Source organism: Homo sapiens, chromosome 7 (genome assembly GCF_000001405.40).
Source record: "Homo sapiens chromosome 7, GRCh38.p14 Primary Assembly".
Lineage (NCBI taxonomy): Eukaryota > Metazoa > Chordata > Mammalia > Primates > Hominidae > Homo > Homo sapiens.
The window spans coordinates 35,573,445-35,592,462 of NC_000007.14; the positions used below are offsets into that span (position 1 = coordinate 35,573,445).

The following is a 19,018-nucleotide window of genomic DNA, read 5'->3' on the forward strand; positions in this document are numbered from 1 at the left end:
GCTCACCCCATCACAGACCTGCAGCTGGTGTGCAAGCCATGCTTGGAGCCATACCTCTGCAGAGCAATGGCCTCCAGAATGAGTGCATGCAAGAAGACTTATTCAGGCACATAAAGAAAATATTAAAATTTCTTCTTACACAGGGCTTGAAATCTTTGAAGCCAGATGTTCTTTGGCTTACCAGCTTTTTTCTCTGATGCTAGAACGGCAAAATAGTGCATATGCCATGTATTTATTACACACCATACCGGCTGGGGGCAGTGGCTCACACCTGTAATCCCAGCAGTTTAGGAGGCCAAGGCAGGTGGATCATGAGGTCCAGAGATTGAGACCATCCTGGCCAACATGGTGAAACCCCGTCTCTACTAAAAATACAAAAATTAGCTAAGTGTGGTTGTGCGTACCTGTAGTCCCAACTATTTGGGAGGCTGAGGCAGGAGAATCGCTTGAACTCAGGAGGCAGAGATTGTAGTGAGCCGAGATGGTGCCATTACACTCCAGCCTGGGTGACAGAGTGAGACTCTGTCTCAAAAAGAAAGAGGAAAGACAAGAAAGAAAGAAAGAAAGAAAGAAAGAAAGAAAGAAAGAAAGAAAGGAAGGAAGGAAGGAAGGAAGGAAGGAAGGAAGGAAGGAAGGAAGGAAGGAAGGAAGGAAGGAAGGAAAGAAAAGGAAGGAAGAAAGAAAGAAAAGGAAGGAAGGAAGGAAGGAATTTACTCCCTATAAAGGGTGCAATATTGCTTTATTTCTGGTAAAGCTGATACTGGAGGCTGGACAAGGTGGCTCATACCTATAATCCCAGCACTTTAGGAGGCCGAGGTGGGTGGATCACTTAAGGTCAGGAGTTTGAGACCAGCCTGGCTAACCTGGTGAAATCCCATCTCTACTAAAAATACAAAAATTAGCCGAGCATGGTGGCACATGCTCATACATAATCCCAGCTACTTGGGAGGCTGAGGCAGGAGGATCAGTTGAAACTCGGAGGTGGAGGTTGCAGTGAACTGAAATTGCGCCATTGCACTCCAGCCTGGGAGACAGAGTGAGACTCCATCTCAAAACAACAACAACAACAACAACAACCACAACACACACACACACACACACAAACCCCTGATACTGGAGGACACAGCCTCCCCCATGGGTAGGTGGGTTCTGAATACTGAGTCTTGCAAGTAAACAGATGCACTCAGGAGCAGGACTGGCCTGGACAGGGGTTCCCCTGCAGAAGCAACACTTTCCAGTTAGAAGAATTGAAAGAAATATGTCCTTCCTGTTCACCAGAGAAAGGGGAGAGGAGGTCTCGGCTGGGCTGTGTCTCACCGATCACATCGTCATTCCTCCTTTCCAGGGGAGACAGAGAGAAAGGCAGAGTCTGGAAGGAAACACAGAGTCAGCAGAAGTACTCTATCCCTGCCCAAAGCCTCCAGCCAGGCGGAAGCTGGTGGGATCTCAGATGCCACCTGCCTGCCCTCAGCCTCCCTGCCACACTCCCCTGAGACACGCTCCCTGCCATTTGTTTCTCAATTGATCCATTGGTCCTGGAGGTCTGAGGCCAAGTCCAGGCCTCCCGTCCTCCCTCCACCTGCAGATCTAGCAGGACCCATAACAAGGCACAGGCGGGCCCTGTGACCCACTCTCCAGGGCTCTTGCCCCCTTGCATCTCTGCCCTGCTATAGCCAAGCTGTCAGCAGGGTCGCGGTTCTTGGAGGTCCCCCTCTTCTTGACTTCCGCACATCTGTAGGAAGCTCGTGGTGGGTGTTGGGTGAGGAGTGGGAATTGTGTAAACATGGCTGTCCTGCGGGCCTGCACATGCCTGCCCTTGACTTGCCAAGGAGAGCCCCTTAGCACAGCACTGGCCTCCAGGAAGCCAGGAGCCAGGGCCTCGGCAAAGCTAACCACCCTGCCCAGGGCACACACCAAGGAGCAGCAGGGCTGAGTGGGAATGTGGGTCTATCAGGCTCTGTCAGGGGCCCAGCTCCTCGCTCACCCACCATGCTCAGATGCAAATGTGCCAGGAGCACTGGCAATCTTCTGCAGTGAAACCTCACTTAAGGCAAACCTCCCACTGCTGGGACTCTGCTTATTTGTAAAATGGGACTAACACTTTCCTACCAGTGGAAATTGTGAGGATTTGGCAAGATGATCATAAGACCATGCAGACTAACATATTCTGGAAATTAAAATGTCATGTCAAATATAAGGGATTATTGTTACTGCTCCCATCATGATGGTCCTGAAACCCACAAAGTGAGAATGAGGGAAGTGATTTCTAACCATGCCACTGCCTCCCACTGCAGCCTAGAAAGGCCCAGTGACACCAGGAGCCCACCCTAAGGGGTTCAGGCATTGGCCAGCGACACTCCAGGTGCACAGCAGAGCCTCAAGGGGAAGGGAGCTCTGGCCCCCACCCACCTGCAAAAACAGAACTTGTCCCACTTTCCATGTCCTTCATTCCAGAAATAGCCAGGTGCCCTCCGTGGGTTGTGGGGAGCACTGTGGGCTGCTGTGTTTTGATTTTCCCCAGAAGTGATCAGAGAAGAGCAGTTCCAGAGCCAGCTGAGCAGGAATGGGGGTCGCGTTGAATTCTCCCCACTTAGCTAAACATTCTCCCTTGGTTAGCCTGGCTGAGTCTGGAAAAAGTAAATATTTTCAGAAAGTCAAGCCAGTGATTTTGTTTTCTAAATCTATGCTGGCATGGTGTCTGGAAAGAAGAAATATGGGTTCCGACGGGGTTTAGGGAACAGAAACTGGCACTTGAACACCAACTGTGTATCAGACACAAAGCTGGGCATGTTCACGTTCCTCTCCTTCCTTCTCACAGCAGCTCTGAAGGAAAGATGTCACAGTCATTTTATTGCAGATAAGGAAGAGAAGCTTGGAGAGGCTGGGCGGCCTGCTACAGTCACACAGGTGGCAAGCCACAGAACTGGGTCCAGACTCAGCCTGGCTGTTTACCATTCCCATGCCATTTCCAGGACACCCTGCTCTGCTGATCAATTTAAGATATCCCTTTTTTGCCGGATGGCCAAAGAACAGACAGACTGTAGAATGCCAGTGCCTCTTATTTTCTCTCTTTGTCTGTTCAAAAATATCATTATTTTTCTCCTTGCAGATTAGAAAAGTAGCCCCTTTGAATTAGCCGGGCATGGTGGTACGTGCCTGTAGTCCCAGCTACTCGGGAGGCTGAGGCAGGGGAATTGCTTGAACCAGGGAGGTGGAGGTTGCAGTGAGTCAAGATCGCACCACTGCACTCCAGCCTAGGTAACAGAGCGAGACCCCATCTCAAAAGAAAAGAAAAGAAAAGAAAAGAAGCCCCTTTGGACAATAAAACGATGGTGTTGACTTTGCCATCTCACCCTGTAATCACAATGAGCATGTATTAGCCTGTTCTCACGCTGCTAATAAAGACATACCCGAGACTGGGCAATTTGTAAAGGAATAAAGGAAAGAGGTTTAATTGACTCACAGTTCCACGTGGCTGGGGAGGCCTCACAATCATGGCTGAAGGTGAACGAGGAGAAAGTCACATCTTACATGGCAGCAGGCAAAAGAGCTTGTGCAGGGGAGCTCCCATTTATAAAACATCAGATCTCTTGAGACATATTAACTACCACGAGAACACTACGGGGGAAACCACTCCTATGATTCAACTATCTCCACCTGACCCTGCCCTTGACACATGGGGATTATTACAATTCAAGGTGAGATTTGGGTGGGGACATAGTCTAACTGTTTCAGAGCAATACCTTTAGAAGTTGGCATAGAGGTCCCTAGGTTACCTTGATTTCATTTTGTCCTCACTTGCTAGATTCAGGCTAGCATGTGATGCTGCTGAAAGGTGGAAGACAGCAATATCAGAGCAAATCAGCCAATTCCCAGAGGTGGTGCATCTGAGCCAGGGCCCAGCCATGATGATCACCAGGCGCTCCCTGGAGGAAGCCAGGCCGCTTTGACAACAGCAACAGGCTCAATGGTCTCTGCTCCTGTAGCCCAGGGAATGACAGGGGGTCTCTCTTGCTCAGGGTCATGTGTCCCTTTCCTTGACCCCCTTTCCTTGCCAGGACTTGTGATCCAATGTGAGAGGTGCTGGGTCCAGTTTAGACTTGAAATGAAAAGGTGGATTTGAAAAGGTCTTGAAGAAAGTGTTAAACATTGTTAAAGAGATTGAAAATGAGAAAGAGAGAGAAAAAAAAAGGAGAGAGAGAATAGTCACTTTGACCAGAGAAGGGGGACGCAGTTGAAACGCAGTCAACTCCTTATTTTTGTATGCATTGAAAATCTAAGGACTTTACAATAGAATCTTCTTTATGTCACTGGGCATTTGCCACATGGTAGACACTGGTTGCCCACCATACCCACATTATCTGGAGTAGGGTACTCCTTCCAAATCCATACTGCATATGCATTGATGCCTTTGGAGAGAAAACAGAGGAATGACAACGGCGAAGAAGAGGAGGAAAGGGATGGGTAAGGAGTCCTTGCTGCTGTAAAGGAGTCCAGCACTGACACACTCTAATCTGTTGAGATCATATTTTGCACTCTAAATTATTAATTTGCTGTGCCGGTTTCTACCCTGTGCTTAGGGCTATGCCTGGCATGTGGTAGGCTCTCAGTAAATATTTGTTGAAGTATATGAATAGACAAAACTTTTCTTTTTCACTTAAAGTTCTGGAATATATGTGCAGAACGTGCAGGTTTGTTATATGGTTATACATGTGCCATGGTGGTTTGCTGCACCTATCAACCCATCATCTGGGTTTTCAGCCCCGCATGCATTAGTATTTGTCCTAATGCTCTCCCCCTCCCTTTGCCCCCTATCCCTCGACAGGCCCTCGTGTGTGATGTTCCCCTCCGTGTGTCCATGTGTCTTCATTGTTCAACTCCCACTTATGAGTGAGAACATGTGTACACAAATCTTTTTTAGTGCGTCCAGAGATTGAAGTTTCTAGATTTACAAACCTTGACCCCACCTTAGTGGGAGGAGGCTTACCTGAGTGGCCAGCGGCAGCCCAGGATGACACCTATGCCTCTTTGTTAAGCACCAACACCACCAGTTTCAACAACACAGCTTTCCCCTAACCAAGAAGCCATTTCTGCACCTGCACAAGAAATATGGGCCCACTCCTCAGAGAAGAAGCTGGAAATCTGGACAAAAGGCCCTGTGACCTCCAATTGTCCACTTAACCCCACAGGGAAAAGTCTAGGAGAAAAGTATTTCACAAAAGCCAAAGCATGTGGCCAAGCTGTTAGCTCACTGAACTCATGCCTGGTGCCTTGTTGCAGGTATGAGTTCAACGTCTAGAAAGCATTCATGGAATGTAACTGATGGATGCATTTCTTCCCTCTAACTGCTGTGAAATAGTTCCCAAGCCTTCATGAACTGGTCTAATTTCAAAGCAGATTCCCTTAGAAGTTTCAAGTGGGCAGAATGAAGAAAAGAGTCAAGCATGAGTAAATCCAAAGCATGGTCAGGAACCAACTACTCAGAAACTACAAATATTAGAAATAAAGGCCGGGCATGGGTGGTTCACACCTGTAATCTCAGCACTTTGGGAGGCCGAGGTGGGTGGATCACCTGAGGTCAGGAGTTCAAGACAAGACTTCCCAACATGGCGAAACCCCGTCTCTACTAAAAATACAAAAGATTAGCCAGATGTGATGGCAGGTGCCTGTAATCCAAGCTGCTTGGGAGGCTGAGGCAGGAGAATTGCTTGAACCCGGGAGGTGGAGGTTGCAGTGAACCGAGATCATGCCGCTGCACTCCAGCTTGGGTGACAAGAGCAAAACTTCATCCCAAAAAAAAAGAAATAATATTTTTTGGCTGGGTGCAGTGGCTCATGTCTATAATCCCAACAGTTTGGGAAGCCAAGGTGGGAGGACTGCTTGAGCCCAAGAGTTTGAGACCAGCCTGGGCAACAAAGGGAGACCCCATCTCTACAAAAATAAAAAACATTAGTCAGGCATGGTGGCACATGCCTGGGGTCCCAGCTACTTGGGAGGCTGAGATGGGTGGATGCTTGGGCCCAGGAAGTCGAGGCTGCAGTGAGCCACGATTGTGCCACTGCACTCCAGCCTGGGCAAGACAGTGAAACCTTGACTCAAAATATATATGTGGATATATTTTTTTTTAACTACTATTTGCCTATATATTTAGATCTCACCTTCTTCCAATAAAGAGATTTAGGACACATACACATATATGCATATTCTTTCCATGGAAGGAATAGTGACAAGGAAAGATATTTGATTTAGGAGCAAGACAGCCTGGGTTCACATTCTGTTCTTCCCATAAATCAGCTGTATAGCCTTGGGCTAATGCCTCTGGCCTCAGTTTCCTAATTTGTAAAATAAAGATAATAATAGCACCTACCTCATAGGAATGTTGTGTGGAATGAACTCAACTTGAGGCTCAAAAAGAAGCATTACTCACCTCTATTGACCATTTATTAAATACCAACACTGTACTGGATACTCTTTCATACTTAAATTCAATACAACTCACAACAGCCTTATAAAGTAGGTATTACTAGTCACATTTCATACATGAAATACTAGACGCTCAGAGAGGTTGGTAATTTGGCCAAAACAACATAGACAATGGGAAAGGCTAATATTTGAATCCTGGTCTTCCCAAATAAAAAATAAAAAATAAACCAAGGCTGTAGACAACACTGCTTCCCAGATCCTGAGTCATCCCATGATGGTTCCTTGTTCTCATAATGAAGGGGATCGAACTGCCCTAAATGCCACCCCTCTGAATTCTCACAATGAAGGAATTTCTACACATGTGGAAGATAACATTCAAATTTAATGCCTATTAAGAAAGACCACATTGGTAGAAACAGACTTTACACAATGCAAGAAGACCACAACCATCACTGAAAACACCACCCTTTCCCAATCCTTAGGGATTGCTTGTGTAGGTTGGCCTGAGTTCCAAAGGCTGTTGTCTGTAACACCCTCGTTAATTCACAAGCTAGCACAGTACAAGATCGTGTAATAGTATTTACATGGACTCAGTCAATGATAGGCTTTACTATTAACTCATTTTATCTTCAAAACTACATTATAAAATACTTATCTCCATTTTACAGAAGGGGAACCCAAAACTTAGAGAACAAAGCTACCAAATAGCTGAATTCATTATGTATTGCTGTATTATGAATTACTCCAAAACTTTCTAGCTTAAATCGATAATAAGCATTAATTGCATCACACAGTCTCTGTGGATCAGAAGTTTGAAAATGCCTTGGATGGGTGATTCTAGCTTAGGATTTCTCATGAGGTTGCAGTCAGGATGTCAACTGGGACCACAGTCATTGGAAGGCTTGACTGGGGATGGAGGATCTGCTTCCAAAGTAGCTCACTCACATAGCTGGCATGCTGACACTGGCTGTTGCTGGGAGGCCTCAGTCACACTCCATATGGGCCACTCCACAGGCTGCTTGAGTATCCTCATGTCATGGCAGCTGGCTTCCCTCAGAGTGAATGATCCAAAATTCAGAGAGCTAAATAGAAGTTTATCCTTTTTAGATAAACTAATAGATATCATTTTTAGATATCCTTTTTCATATCCCTCTATAATTCAGCCTTGGAAGCCACATAGTGTCACCTCAATCACATTCTATTGTTTAGGAGAAAATCATTAAGTCCAGCCCACTTTCAATGGAAGAAGTCGACTCCATTTTTTTAGGGGAAGTACATCAGAGAATTTACGACATATTTTTAAATCATCTCAGAGGCAGAACTGGAATTCTCATTTATCCCTTTCTAATTTAGAACTCCAGGACTTTTCATGATATCTAAGGCAGGAAAAATGTGGCATCACTATTTCCACAGTTCACTTCCACCTCCATAGCAGATGTCATGAGCAACCCCAGAACTCATTCTGCCACAGCTGGACCTGGCCTCAGAATCTCTCTCGTGCCATCCCCATGGAAGTCACCACCCATCAGATGGAGCTGGCACACAAGTAGAAATTTAGTGCATTCCTGCCTATACCAGAGCTATAGAGAGAAACTTACAGGTACGTTAAATTTCATTATCTTAGAGTCCCTAATTTTATGAATCACCTCTGAGACACTCTATAAAACAAGATTTGTAATAATAAACCCCTCTCCCAAAAATTCTCTAAAAAGGAAAATGCTTTAGGAAACCTCGTGTTCTAACTTTTAGAAGGTCTTCTCAATTCCAGAACTCCACTGTAATTATGCACTCTCACCCCACCCCAGTAATGTCATTTATGCCTCTAATGACAGGAAGAGAGGCCTGCGGGTAGCATCTGCCGTTTTCTCTACTTGGTACAGTGTTTGTCACCCACAGATGCACACTGGCATCGCCAGTGCAGAGGCCTTGTCCCCATCCCGGAGACTCTGATGTAACTGATATGAGGCCGGGGGACTTTTCAAGGCTCCCCAGGTGATTGTAATGTTCAGCCAGTCTGAGAACAACTGACTTAGCGCTTCATTTTCATTGCCACATAAGTGATTCTCTGTGCAATCATTAAACTCTGCCACCTTGTAATTGGTTAAATGAGCATATTAATAGAACTTAGAGAGTGATGAATCCCCAGGCTATATTCAACACTTACTGCTCTTTTTCAAAATGTCAATCTCAATTCGACTTTGGATTGCCCTTCCTCAGGGCATTTCCATTAAATGAACCAACCCATCTGATTCAATAAAAACCCAATTATTTTGCACATTTATGAGACTTTGACACACTTTTCAGAATCACCTCCAGAACTACCTCTGTTTCACACAATGTTCATATCCCTCTATAATCATCCCAGGTCCACAAAAACATAAGATCACCCTGAAGCAAACATAAAATTCTGCTGATCTGGGAGTTTATAATAGTTTTTCAGTAAACAGTCTTCTCATACCTACATAGTAAACACTTACTTTCCTAGGTTAGTAGCTAGGAATTTTTAGATTAGCTCGATAACCTAAATATCAAAATGCCACTCCTCTTTCAAATATCACATCTATCCTAAAAGGGAGATTTTTTAATGTGAAAAAAAGGTTTTATTATTGTTTTGTTATTGCTATTGTTGTTGTTCATATCTTTTAACTTCTCTTGAAATCGTACATAAAAACATCTTAAGTTTTTTTAACTTGTATTTTTAAGTCAGGGGTACATATGCAGGTTTTTTATATAGGTAAACATGTGTCATGGGAGTTTGTTGTACAGATTATCTCCTCACTCAGGTATTAAGCCTAGTACCCATTAGTTATTTTTCTGATCCTCTCCCTCCTCCCACCCTCCACCCTCTTAAAGACTCCAGTGTGTGTTGTTTCCCTCTATGGGTCCATGTGCTCGCATCATTAAGCTCCCACTTATAAGTGAGAGCCTGTGGTATTTGGTTTTCTGTTCCTGTGTTAGTTTGCTAAGGATGATGGCCTCCAGCTCCATCCATGTCTGTGCAAAGGACATAAACCCATTCTTTTTATGGCTGTATAGTATTCCATGGTCTATATGTGCCACATTTTCTTTATCCAGTCTGTCATTGATGGACATTTAGATTGAATCCATGTCTTTGCTATTGTGAATAATGCTACAATGAACATACATGTGTATGTGTCTTTGTAACAGAATGATTTACATCCCTTTGGATATATACCCAGTAATGAGGTTGCTGAGTTGAATGGAATTTCTGTCTTTAGGTCTTTGAGGAATCACCACACTGTCTTCCACAATGGTTGAACTAATTTACACTTCCACCAACAGTGTATAAGTGTTCCTTTTTTTAAAAGGGTGGTATTTTTAACGGAAACGTTTTCATCTGTACACCTTAGCCAAGGCAAGGACAGGCCATCACCATAAGATATTGAAGACTTCTAGGGGTAGAGGATGGCAGCAGTTCCCTTAACACAGTTCCCACATTTTATCACACATAGAGATTACCCGGGCAGCTAATAAAAGTTCCCTCACCAGGTTGCACCTCATATAGTTTAATCAGAATCACCAGAGGCACAAGACAGGCATTTGTGAATTTTATAGAATTTGATAAAGTTTCCCAGGTGATGCCTACATACCACAAAGTTTAGAAACTACTGTCTTAACTCTTTATGCTAAATCTTTACAGATCTTTAAGAAGAAATAATTTTCTACATCCCTAAGCTGTTTTAAGAAAAAAAAGTCTACTCAGATTTGAGATATTTGCAAATAAAAGTTCATTTACTGGAATAGACTGTGTTGCACAGTAAGGCACTTGAGAAATCTAAATGTCTCCTTATTTGCTAAGTTTTAAAATTAAAACAGAACACATCAGAACATATTCTTCAATAAATTTTTCAGTGAATTATTACCCTTTGGACTTGGAGCTTAAACAAAATTATACTTTATAGTTTATAAGTGGGCTCTTCTTTCTCCCTTTACTGTAGTTAGCTGACTTCTCTAGTTATGACACAAATGTTTCACAACTAAAGATCAAATACAAATTGATACTAAATATCAGATATTTCATCATGAAAAATAAATTGCTTAGATTTCAATCGTAAAGGATAAGCATTTATTAGCTTAACTCACAAAATTACCATCTACATCACTTTTCATTTTTTTAATCTTAGGCTACTGCCTTGAGATCTCATGCATGTAGCTGCTTTATGTAATTTATTCTTGTATGGTATCCTTATTTTTAATGTGTGTGTGTCTTATCTCACAAAGACCTGTAAGAGAAAGGATCATGTATATCAACAAATATTTATTGAGCATCTGCTATGTGCCTGGATCTATATTAGCTCAGTTTTCCCATAGCTGTACTATTCAATTTGCAGTTTACAAGTTGTTATTCAGTAGTAAAATCAACTTAGTGGCCTAACCACCTTTTTTGTTAATGACATAGTATAAAATGGAAGCAAATAGGAAGGAATAGCAAGTAGCAGCATGCTTCTCGCATAGTGAGAATAAGTTTTGGCTGGGTGCTGTGGCTCATGCCTGTAATCTCAACACTTTGGGAGCCTAAGGCAGGAGGAATGCTTGAGCCCAGGAGTTCAAGACCAGCCTGGGCCACAGAGTGGGACCCTGTCTCTGCAAAAAAAATTTAAAAATTAGCTGGACGTGGTGGCACGTGCCTGTGATCCCAGCTACTCAGGAGGGAGGTTGAGGCAAGAGGAATGCTTGCACCAAGGAGGTCGAGGCTGCAGTGATCTCTGCTCATGCTACTGCACTCCAGCCTGGGCAACAAAGTAAGGCCACCTTAAGAAAGAAAAAAAGAAAGGAAGAAAGGAAGAAAGAAAGAGAGAGAGAGAAAGAAAGAAAGAGAAAGAAAGAGAGAGAGAGAGAAAGGAAGGAAGGAAGGAAGGAAGGAAGGAAGGAAGGAAGGAAGAAAGAAAGAAAGAAAGAAAAAGAAAGAAAGAAAGAGGAAAAAATAAAAGAAAGAAAGGAAAAGAAAACAGAGAATAAGTTTCATTTAGCGATACTTTTTTTTGCTAAATGAAACAAAGGCGTGTGTGTGTGTGTGTGTGTGTGTATAGTTAGGTAGGTAGGTAAAATGGGTCTTGATGTAAAATGTTTTTCTTCATTTAAAAGGTTTGGAATGCATGCTATAGAACAGTATTCTGTGTGTCACAGCGTTCTATAAATATTTATGGATTAAATGGTTAAAGTCAAAATTCTTAGAATTGAATTTTTGTTTATTTGTTTTAGTGGGTTAAAAAAAAAAGCTGGCAGCAGCTTCTCAGGCTAGAAGAACAGAAAGTCACCTTGGAACAGATATTCATTTAGCAACTTTGAGCACTTGAGGAGTCTCTTATCCGTATGTAAACATAAAGAGCTGAGGCCTCCTGTTGGGAGAAAAGAGTTCAAGACCTCTGGCCTGAAGGACTGATTCTCTCTGGTGTGCAGAGCTGGTTTGCAGGGAAAGTGTGTCTCTTTGTCTAAGTGCCAAGAAGCCACCTGAGACAGTAAGAGATGGAGCCCTGACTTTCCATTTAGAGGTTCAAAAGACCTGATACAGTCCTAGCCAAGGTCCATGGACAGCAGAGGGGAATCTGGGCTGGCTTAGAGGCTGTTAGATAGAGATGACCTCTGCACAGCAACATGGAAGAGGCTTTGACCCAGAGAAACTGTGCTTTCTGCTTAGCAGGACTGGGGGACACCTTAGAAAATCACACAGAAAAAATAATAGAGATATGACAGTGATTAATATGCTAAACTTTTTTTAGATGCATACCAATTATTTTCAGGACTGAAACTCACACACAATCTGTGATATTCAGGTATATTATAACTTACTAATAGCTACTAATTGTCCATCAGACCCTGCATCCCCGTGATGTACCATGGGAACTTGTCAAAAAGAGTTATGGCACCATCACAAAAAGACAGACCACTTCCATGCCCATGATGGAAGAACACAGTGGCACCTGCACACTGGTCTTGTCAAGCAAAAATCAAACCTGAAACTGATCAAAGCATCAGATCTGACTACTAGATTATAGTAAATATGGAGGAGAAGGGAACAATGCCACAGGTGCACTCCACAAAATACAGACTGTGGGACAGGACAGACAGCCCATCTTCTCCAACAAATACATTGCAGGAGAAAAATAGAAGAGAAGAATCTAGATTAAATGACTCTTAAGAGGCACAGCAATGGATTGCAATACTACTCATATCCTGATTTTAACAAACCACAAAATATAATTTGAGAAATCAGGAAAATTGGAACACGGATTGGATAATCATTTAATTATAGTAAGGGACTGTTGATTTTGACAGATTTTATGTTGGTACTATGATTATGTTCATTAAGAGTCTTTTAGAATTACATTCTGAAAAGCTATGAATGTAAATATAGTCTTGCATCAAAACATGTGGTGGGGAGAAATATCAATGCAAAAACATTGACCATAAGTGGATATTAGTCATAGCTGGAGACGGGTACTGGGATTTTATTATTCTGTTTCTATATGCATATGTTTGGAATTTTTCATTTTCCAAAAGCCCGGTCTTTTGTGCAGGCAGTGTGGACCATGTCACTTTGCAGCTTCTGTTCTATCGCATCCTCAACTCCATCCCCTTCCAACCTGATGAAGAGACTCAAAACAAGCTTTTCATTTCATTCAGTGCACTGAAGACTGTACCAGAAATCAGAGACTTAAACAAAGCATAAGAACTGACAATATGTGTAAAATTCCTAGGATTGTGATCAATGCAGTGATTCATGCTTGCTGTTGTGCATATAATACATATTCTATATGCAATTTATTTACACTTTAAATTTATTCAGTGGCTTCACCTCAATGAAATGAGAGGAATATAGCCACATTCAAAGTCTACCTAGAGTTCCACACAGTGTTTCAGTAAAATGAATCATTTTGTTTCACTGCAAGGCACACCATTTCAATGCTGAAAAGACATGTATAAATTGATTCAATCCATCAATCTCTGGGTGCTTAAAAATATGCTAAGCACAAGTAAGTAAAATATAATGATTTTACTATGGAATTATAATAAAGTTCTACCTGCATCAGTAGTATGTCACAGGAACCATGAATTGCCACGTTGATTCAAGAGTAGAGATTCAAAATGTTGGAATTCAGAGTGGACATTACAGTAACTTAAACGAATTTTAAAATATTACTTGAAAGTGCAAAATGCAACTGGGGTGCAAAGACATTAAAGATACATTTAAGAATAAGCCACCAACACCCTTGACTCATGAAGGTGACAGACTTCAGACAATCTGGTTAACCATTTGCATGAATGTGTGATGATGGATAGAATGTACAGAAATGTATACAGGAATTGTGTCTCTGCTTCTATTATGTTTCTCTCTCAAAATGCTTAGAAGTGGAAGGTTATATTTGGCACACTTGCTTCCTTATTGAGTCATTGCAATATTTTCATATAATTTTCTTTCCAAATCAATATTTACACACATTTTAATAAAATAACCTGCGTTCTCCGTCGTTTAAATTGTAGCATGAATCTTCAGTGGCCTTCTCTTATTATTATAAGAGGCAATAATTTGGCAAAAGGTTTTGTTACTGCAAAGGGAAGAAGTGTCTTTGGGGGCTTTTTTCCCATCTATTTTCTTCCTTTCTGCAAGCTATCATTTGACAGACACTTAGACATTCTGTGATAAGCAGGAGCACTTCCTCAGGAACAGGCTCCACAGGTCTGAAAAGTAGCCTTCTTGCAGAGGAATATTACCTTGTTTTTAAAGATCTGAAGAAGGGTTAGGAGAAAGAATTGACAATCACTTTCTAGGCTAGTTGAATTCCACTTAGAAGAACCAACTTTGTTTTCAATCTTTGTGCCTCAAAAGATGGGAAGCTTTATTCTTGCCTGGAATTTTTTTTATCTCCCTTCCAGGGATAAGTAAGTTACCAGATACCTGCAGTGCGTTGAGCTATTTTACCAATATTTGCTCAGGTGTCTTCTCAGGTTCTTCCAGAGTTTTTTATTTCTTACAGCTATTGTTTTTCTATGCAGATTATAATAATTATAGAAACTTTAAATATTTTGTAACTAACGATTTGATTTGAGATCAACATAAACCATAATCTAAGTTCAGCACAGCAGTTTAGTGTACAGGAGTGATATGGTTTGGCTCTGTGTCCCCACTCAAATCTCATGTTGAATTGTAATCCCCAGTGTTGGGGGAGGAACCTGGTGGGAGGTGATTGGATCACGGGGGCAGTTTCCCCCTTGCTGTTCTCCCGATAGTGAGTGCGTTCTCATGAGATCTGATGGTTTAAAGTGTGTGACACTTCCCCCCTCACTCTTTCTCTCTCTCCTGCTGCCATGTGAAGAAGGTGCTTTCTTCTTCTTCACCTTCCACCATGACTGTAAATTTCCTAAGATTTCCCAATCATGCTTCCTGTTAAGCCTGTGGAAGTATGAGACAATTAAACCTCTTTTCTTCACAAATTACCCAGTCTCAGGTAGTTCTTTCCAGCAGTGTGAGAACGGACTAATACAATGAGAAAAAAACCAGGACTGGAAACCAGATGACCTGAATTCAAGTTCCAGCCGTATCACTAGCTACCTGTGTGATCCTGAGCAAGTGAGTTATTTCATCTATAAAATGAAGAACTCAGAAGATGTTTTTACCTCTTTTAGATGTTTAGACCTGTGATGGTTAATATTAGGTGTCAACTTGATTGGATTAAAGGATGCATAGATGGCTGGTAAAGTATTGTTTCTGGGTGTGCCTGTGAAGGCATTGCCAGAGGAGATTAACATTTGATTCAATGGACTGGGAGAGGAAGCCCCACCCTCAATGTGGGTGGGCACCATCCACTTGTTTGCCAGTGAGGCTAAAACAAAGCAGGTGGAAGAAGGTGGGATGAGCTGGCTTGGTGAGTTCTGGCGTTCATCTTTCTCCCATGCTGGATGCTTCTTCCCATTCCTCCTGCCCTTGGACATCAGGCTCCAGGTTCTTTGGCCTTTGGACTCTTGGACTTACACCAGTGGTTTGCTGGGAGATCTAGGGCCTTTGGCCACAGACTGAAGGCTGCACTGTCGGCTTCCCTACACTTGAGGCTTTTGGACTCAGACTGATCCACTACCAACTTTTTTCTTCCTCAGCTTGCAGATGGCCTATGGTGGGACTTTCTCTTGCGATCATGTGAGCCGATTCTCATTAATAAACTTCCTTTCATATATACATATATCCTGTTAGTTCTGTCCCTCTGGAGAACCGTGACTAATATAAGACCTAAACATCTAGTGCTAAAATTATGTGATTTTGGCTTAGAACTGTCTCACAAGACCTTCTGCTATACTCTGTGAACCAGCTATTCACACACAAGCCACAGCCCCCCAACAACTTCTCTCTCTTTCTCTCTCTCTCTTCTTTCTCTCTCTCTCTCTTTCTCTCTTTCTCTCTCCTTCCTCAGTGATGGTCTGGAAAGCTAACATTCTTGGTTTTCAGACCCCCTTGTGCTTAAGTGGGATGGCCAAGTTCTTTCTAGCCAAAGACATTAGTTGAAATCTCTTGGAGAAACTTTCAGGAAAGCTTTTTTGTTGTTGGTTAAAAAAAAAAAAAAAAAAGACCTGGTGGTGTGACATCCCTTCTGCCTTTCATTTCTTCTTCCATCTTCCTGATTGTGATGTGACCGTGAGCCCAAAGCCTCAGCAGCAATCTTTGACCATAAACACAAATGTGAGGGCTAAGGCTGGACTCTACTGCGTGTGGAGGGCAAATATGAAAAGAGCCTACTTTACAAATGCACCACTGAACCGTCATCCCAGACCCAGCTGGCCTACAATCACATTCTTGTTGCCTGAAACAAATAAATATTTACCTGTTGAAAGCACTGTTAATTGGGCTTCCTGCAAGCTGCAAATGAATGCAGCCCTAACAAACCTTAAACACAATTATTTTTCCAGGATAGTACCAATTTTAGAAAGACTTCATTACACTTTAAAATGAATCCTACCGCTTGGAATCAGTTTCCATTTCCCTTCACCTTTGTTTCAAGCTTCTATAACTCCCACTCAGTGTTCAAGACCCCACTTATGCCCCTCTGTCTTGACTCCTCCAAGTAGAGCCCATCACAGCCTCTTTGGTGCCACTTTCACAACTGGCACTCACTTTTATTTTTGTCCCCATCTCATTGTACTATGATTCATTTAGTCTACCTTTCATCCTATCTAAACCAAGAGTCTCCACGGACAGATACATTTTATGTAGCTTTGTTTACCACAGATACGGCTCCGAACCTGGTACATAATATATGTTCAACAAAAGGTAGTTTAATTTTGGATAAATACATTCACTTACTCATAATCATTAATATCATAATCATTTAGCAAACTCATCACTTATGTGGAAGTGACTGGGGACAACTGAACCTCATGTTGATTGTTCTATCCACAGACCTAAATCTGCATAATTGTATATAGACTCACTGCTCCTATCATCTACCTCTAAATACATTATACACTTAACTTTCTTTTCATTTATTTATTTTTTTTCTATAGGTTATGGGGGTACAGGTGGTATTCGGTTACATGCGTAAGTCCTTTAGTGGTGATTTGTGAGATTTTGGTGCACCCATCACCGAGCAGTATTCACTGCACCCTATTTGTAGTCTTTTATCGCTCATCCCCTCTCTCACCCTTCCCCCTAAGTCCCTGAAGTTTAACTTTCAAAAGGAGCTTCTTTACAGTGTAAAAGCTATGCTGAACTCAGCTACCCTCCCACCTTTCTGATGCTTTGTAAGCAGCAGTAGGATTGATCCTGGCTTTGTTCATTACTTTAAGGGAAATAAAAGATGTTATGATGGCCCTGAAACTCGTGGGAATGAAAATTGGAGAGCTATTCACAAACAGTGCTCAATAAACATTTATTATGCCTGGGAGGGATGCATTATACCTTCCTGGGACAGTGTATATTACAAATGGAGGACACAGCAAGATATTAATTCTTTCTGATCTATTGATTGCCTTGGAACAACACGGGAAGAAGACATTCGGAATTGCAGGATTGTGTGTGTTTAGGCAGGAATTATCCTTAAAAAGGTCAAATAAGTAATTGGGATGTAATAGGATTGTGTGAGATTACATTAAAGCCTACAGTTATTCAGTTTATTACATTTTGCTATAAGCCACTAAAATGTCTATCTATCCAGGCAAATTGAAGCTGATTCAGTTATGTTTAAGAATGCTCAGAAAATTAATATTTTAGTGGCCTCATTACTGAAGCTATGGATAAAACATGTTTTCTTTCTCAAGGAAAGTGGTCTTGCCCAGGAAAAGATGCATGATTGAGAAAAACATTCTGGGAGGCCGAGGTGGGCAGATCACCTGAAGTAAAGCATTTGAGACCAGCCTGGCCAACATGGCGAAACCCCATCTACTAAAAAAATAAATAAAATGAAATAAATTAGCCAGGTGTGGTGGTGTGCACCTATAATCCCAGCTACCTGGGAGGCTGAGGCATGAAAATCACTTGAACCTGGGAGGTGGAGGTTGTGGTAAGCCGAGATCACGCCACTGCACTCCAGCCTGGGGACACAGTGAGACTCTGTCTCAGAAAAAAAAGAAAAAAGAAAGGGTTAGTGAGGTGACAGGTATTAGAAACATACTGGTTCTAACTTGAGACTTTTTCATTGACACAATAATAAAGATAACTTATGTTTTCCTTATTATATGATTGAACATTGTGTCCATGTACCATGTGAAGTCCTTGCAAATACCATTAGATGCGCACACCCTAAGGCATGAGTGTAGCAGAAAGAGCACAGGTTGGCTGGGCGCAGTGGCTAATGTCTGTAATCCCAGCACTTTGGGAGGCCAAGGTGGGTGGATCACAAGGTCAGAAGTTCAAGACCAGCCTGGCCAATATGGTGAAATCCCATCTCTACTAAAAAATACAAAAATTAGCTTGGTGTGGTGGTGCGCACCTGTAATCCCAGCTACTCAGGAGGCTGAGGCAGGAGAACCGCTTGAACCCAGGAGACGGAGGTTGTAGTGAGCCGAGATGGTGCCATTGCACTCCAACCTGGGTGACAGAGCAAGACTCTGTCTCAAAAAAGAAAGAAAGAAGAAAGGAAAGAAAGAAAGAAAGAAAGAAAGAAAGAAAGAAAGAAAGAAAGAAAGAAAGAAAGAAAGAAAGAAAGAAAGAAAGAAAGAAAGAAAAAGAGCAAGCACAGATTTTGAAGCTAGACAGAGCTGGATATAAACTCTAACTCTAGCAACCCCACCTACTGTGTAACCTGGACAAGTTCTCTTATCTCTATGCTTCAGTTTCCTTATCTTTGAAATAAGATAACACAGTACCACAACAGCATACAATTACATAGTAGAATGTCATAATGCTGAAGTGTAAAGATGACCATAGTTTGAAACGGTTTAAAATAGCTTTACCTGTCAACTTGGCTAGGCTGAGCCATGCTTCCCAGAATTCCTTTCTGGTTCAGGTGGGCCTCAAGAGATGTTTTACATGAGATTTGGAGGGTGAAAGTGAAGTGGCAGCCATTTTGATTTGTATGCTTAGGTTATTATAATAGAAAAATCCAAGTAAAAGCCACTAAACGGATTCTACCGATAAGAATTTAAGCAA

The 19,018-nt window shown here is 42.1% G+C and overlaps 1 long non-coding RNA gene across 1 annotated transcript, besides 1 other annotated feature; it reads right to left on the bottom strand.

Annotated features, from left to right (window-relative positions):
• Positions 1,757 to 2,257: an enhancer, noted in NCBI's record as "H3K4me1 hESC enhancer chr7:35614811-35615311 (GRCh37/hg19 assembly coordinates)". NCBI's record gives its function as "activates a minimal SCP1, AML or CMV promoter by ChIP-STARR-seq in primed H9 embryonic stem cells {active_cell/tissue: H9 hESC(primed)}" and the evidence as "EXISTENCE:reporter gene assay evidence [ECO:0000049][PMID:30033119]".
• Positions 6,424 to 17,916, bottom strand: LOC124901614 (uncharacterized). Its single transcript, XR_007060283.1, has 2 exons — positions 17,880 to 17,916; positions 6,424 to 7,505 (listed from the first exon to the last, which is right to left on the bottom strand). It is a non-coding gene; the product is annotated as an uncharacterized LOC124901614 (long non-coding RNA).
• Between the last annotated feature and the right edge of the window lie 1,102 nt (positions 17,917 to 19,018).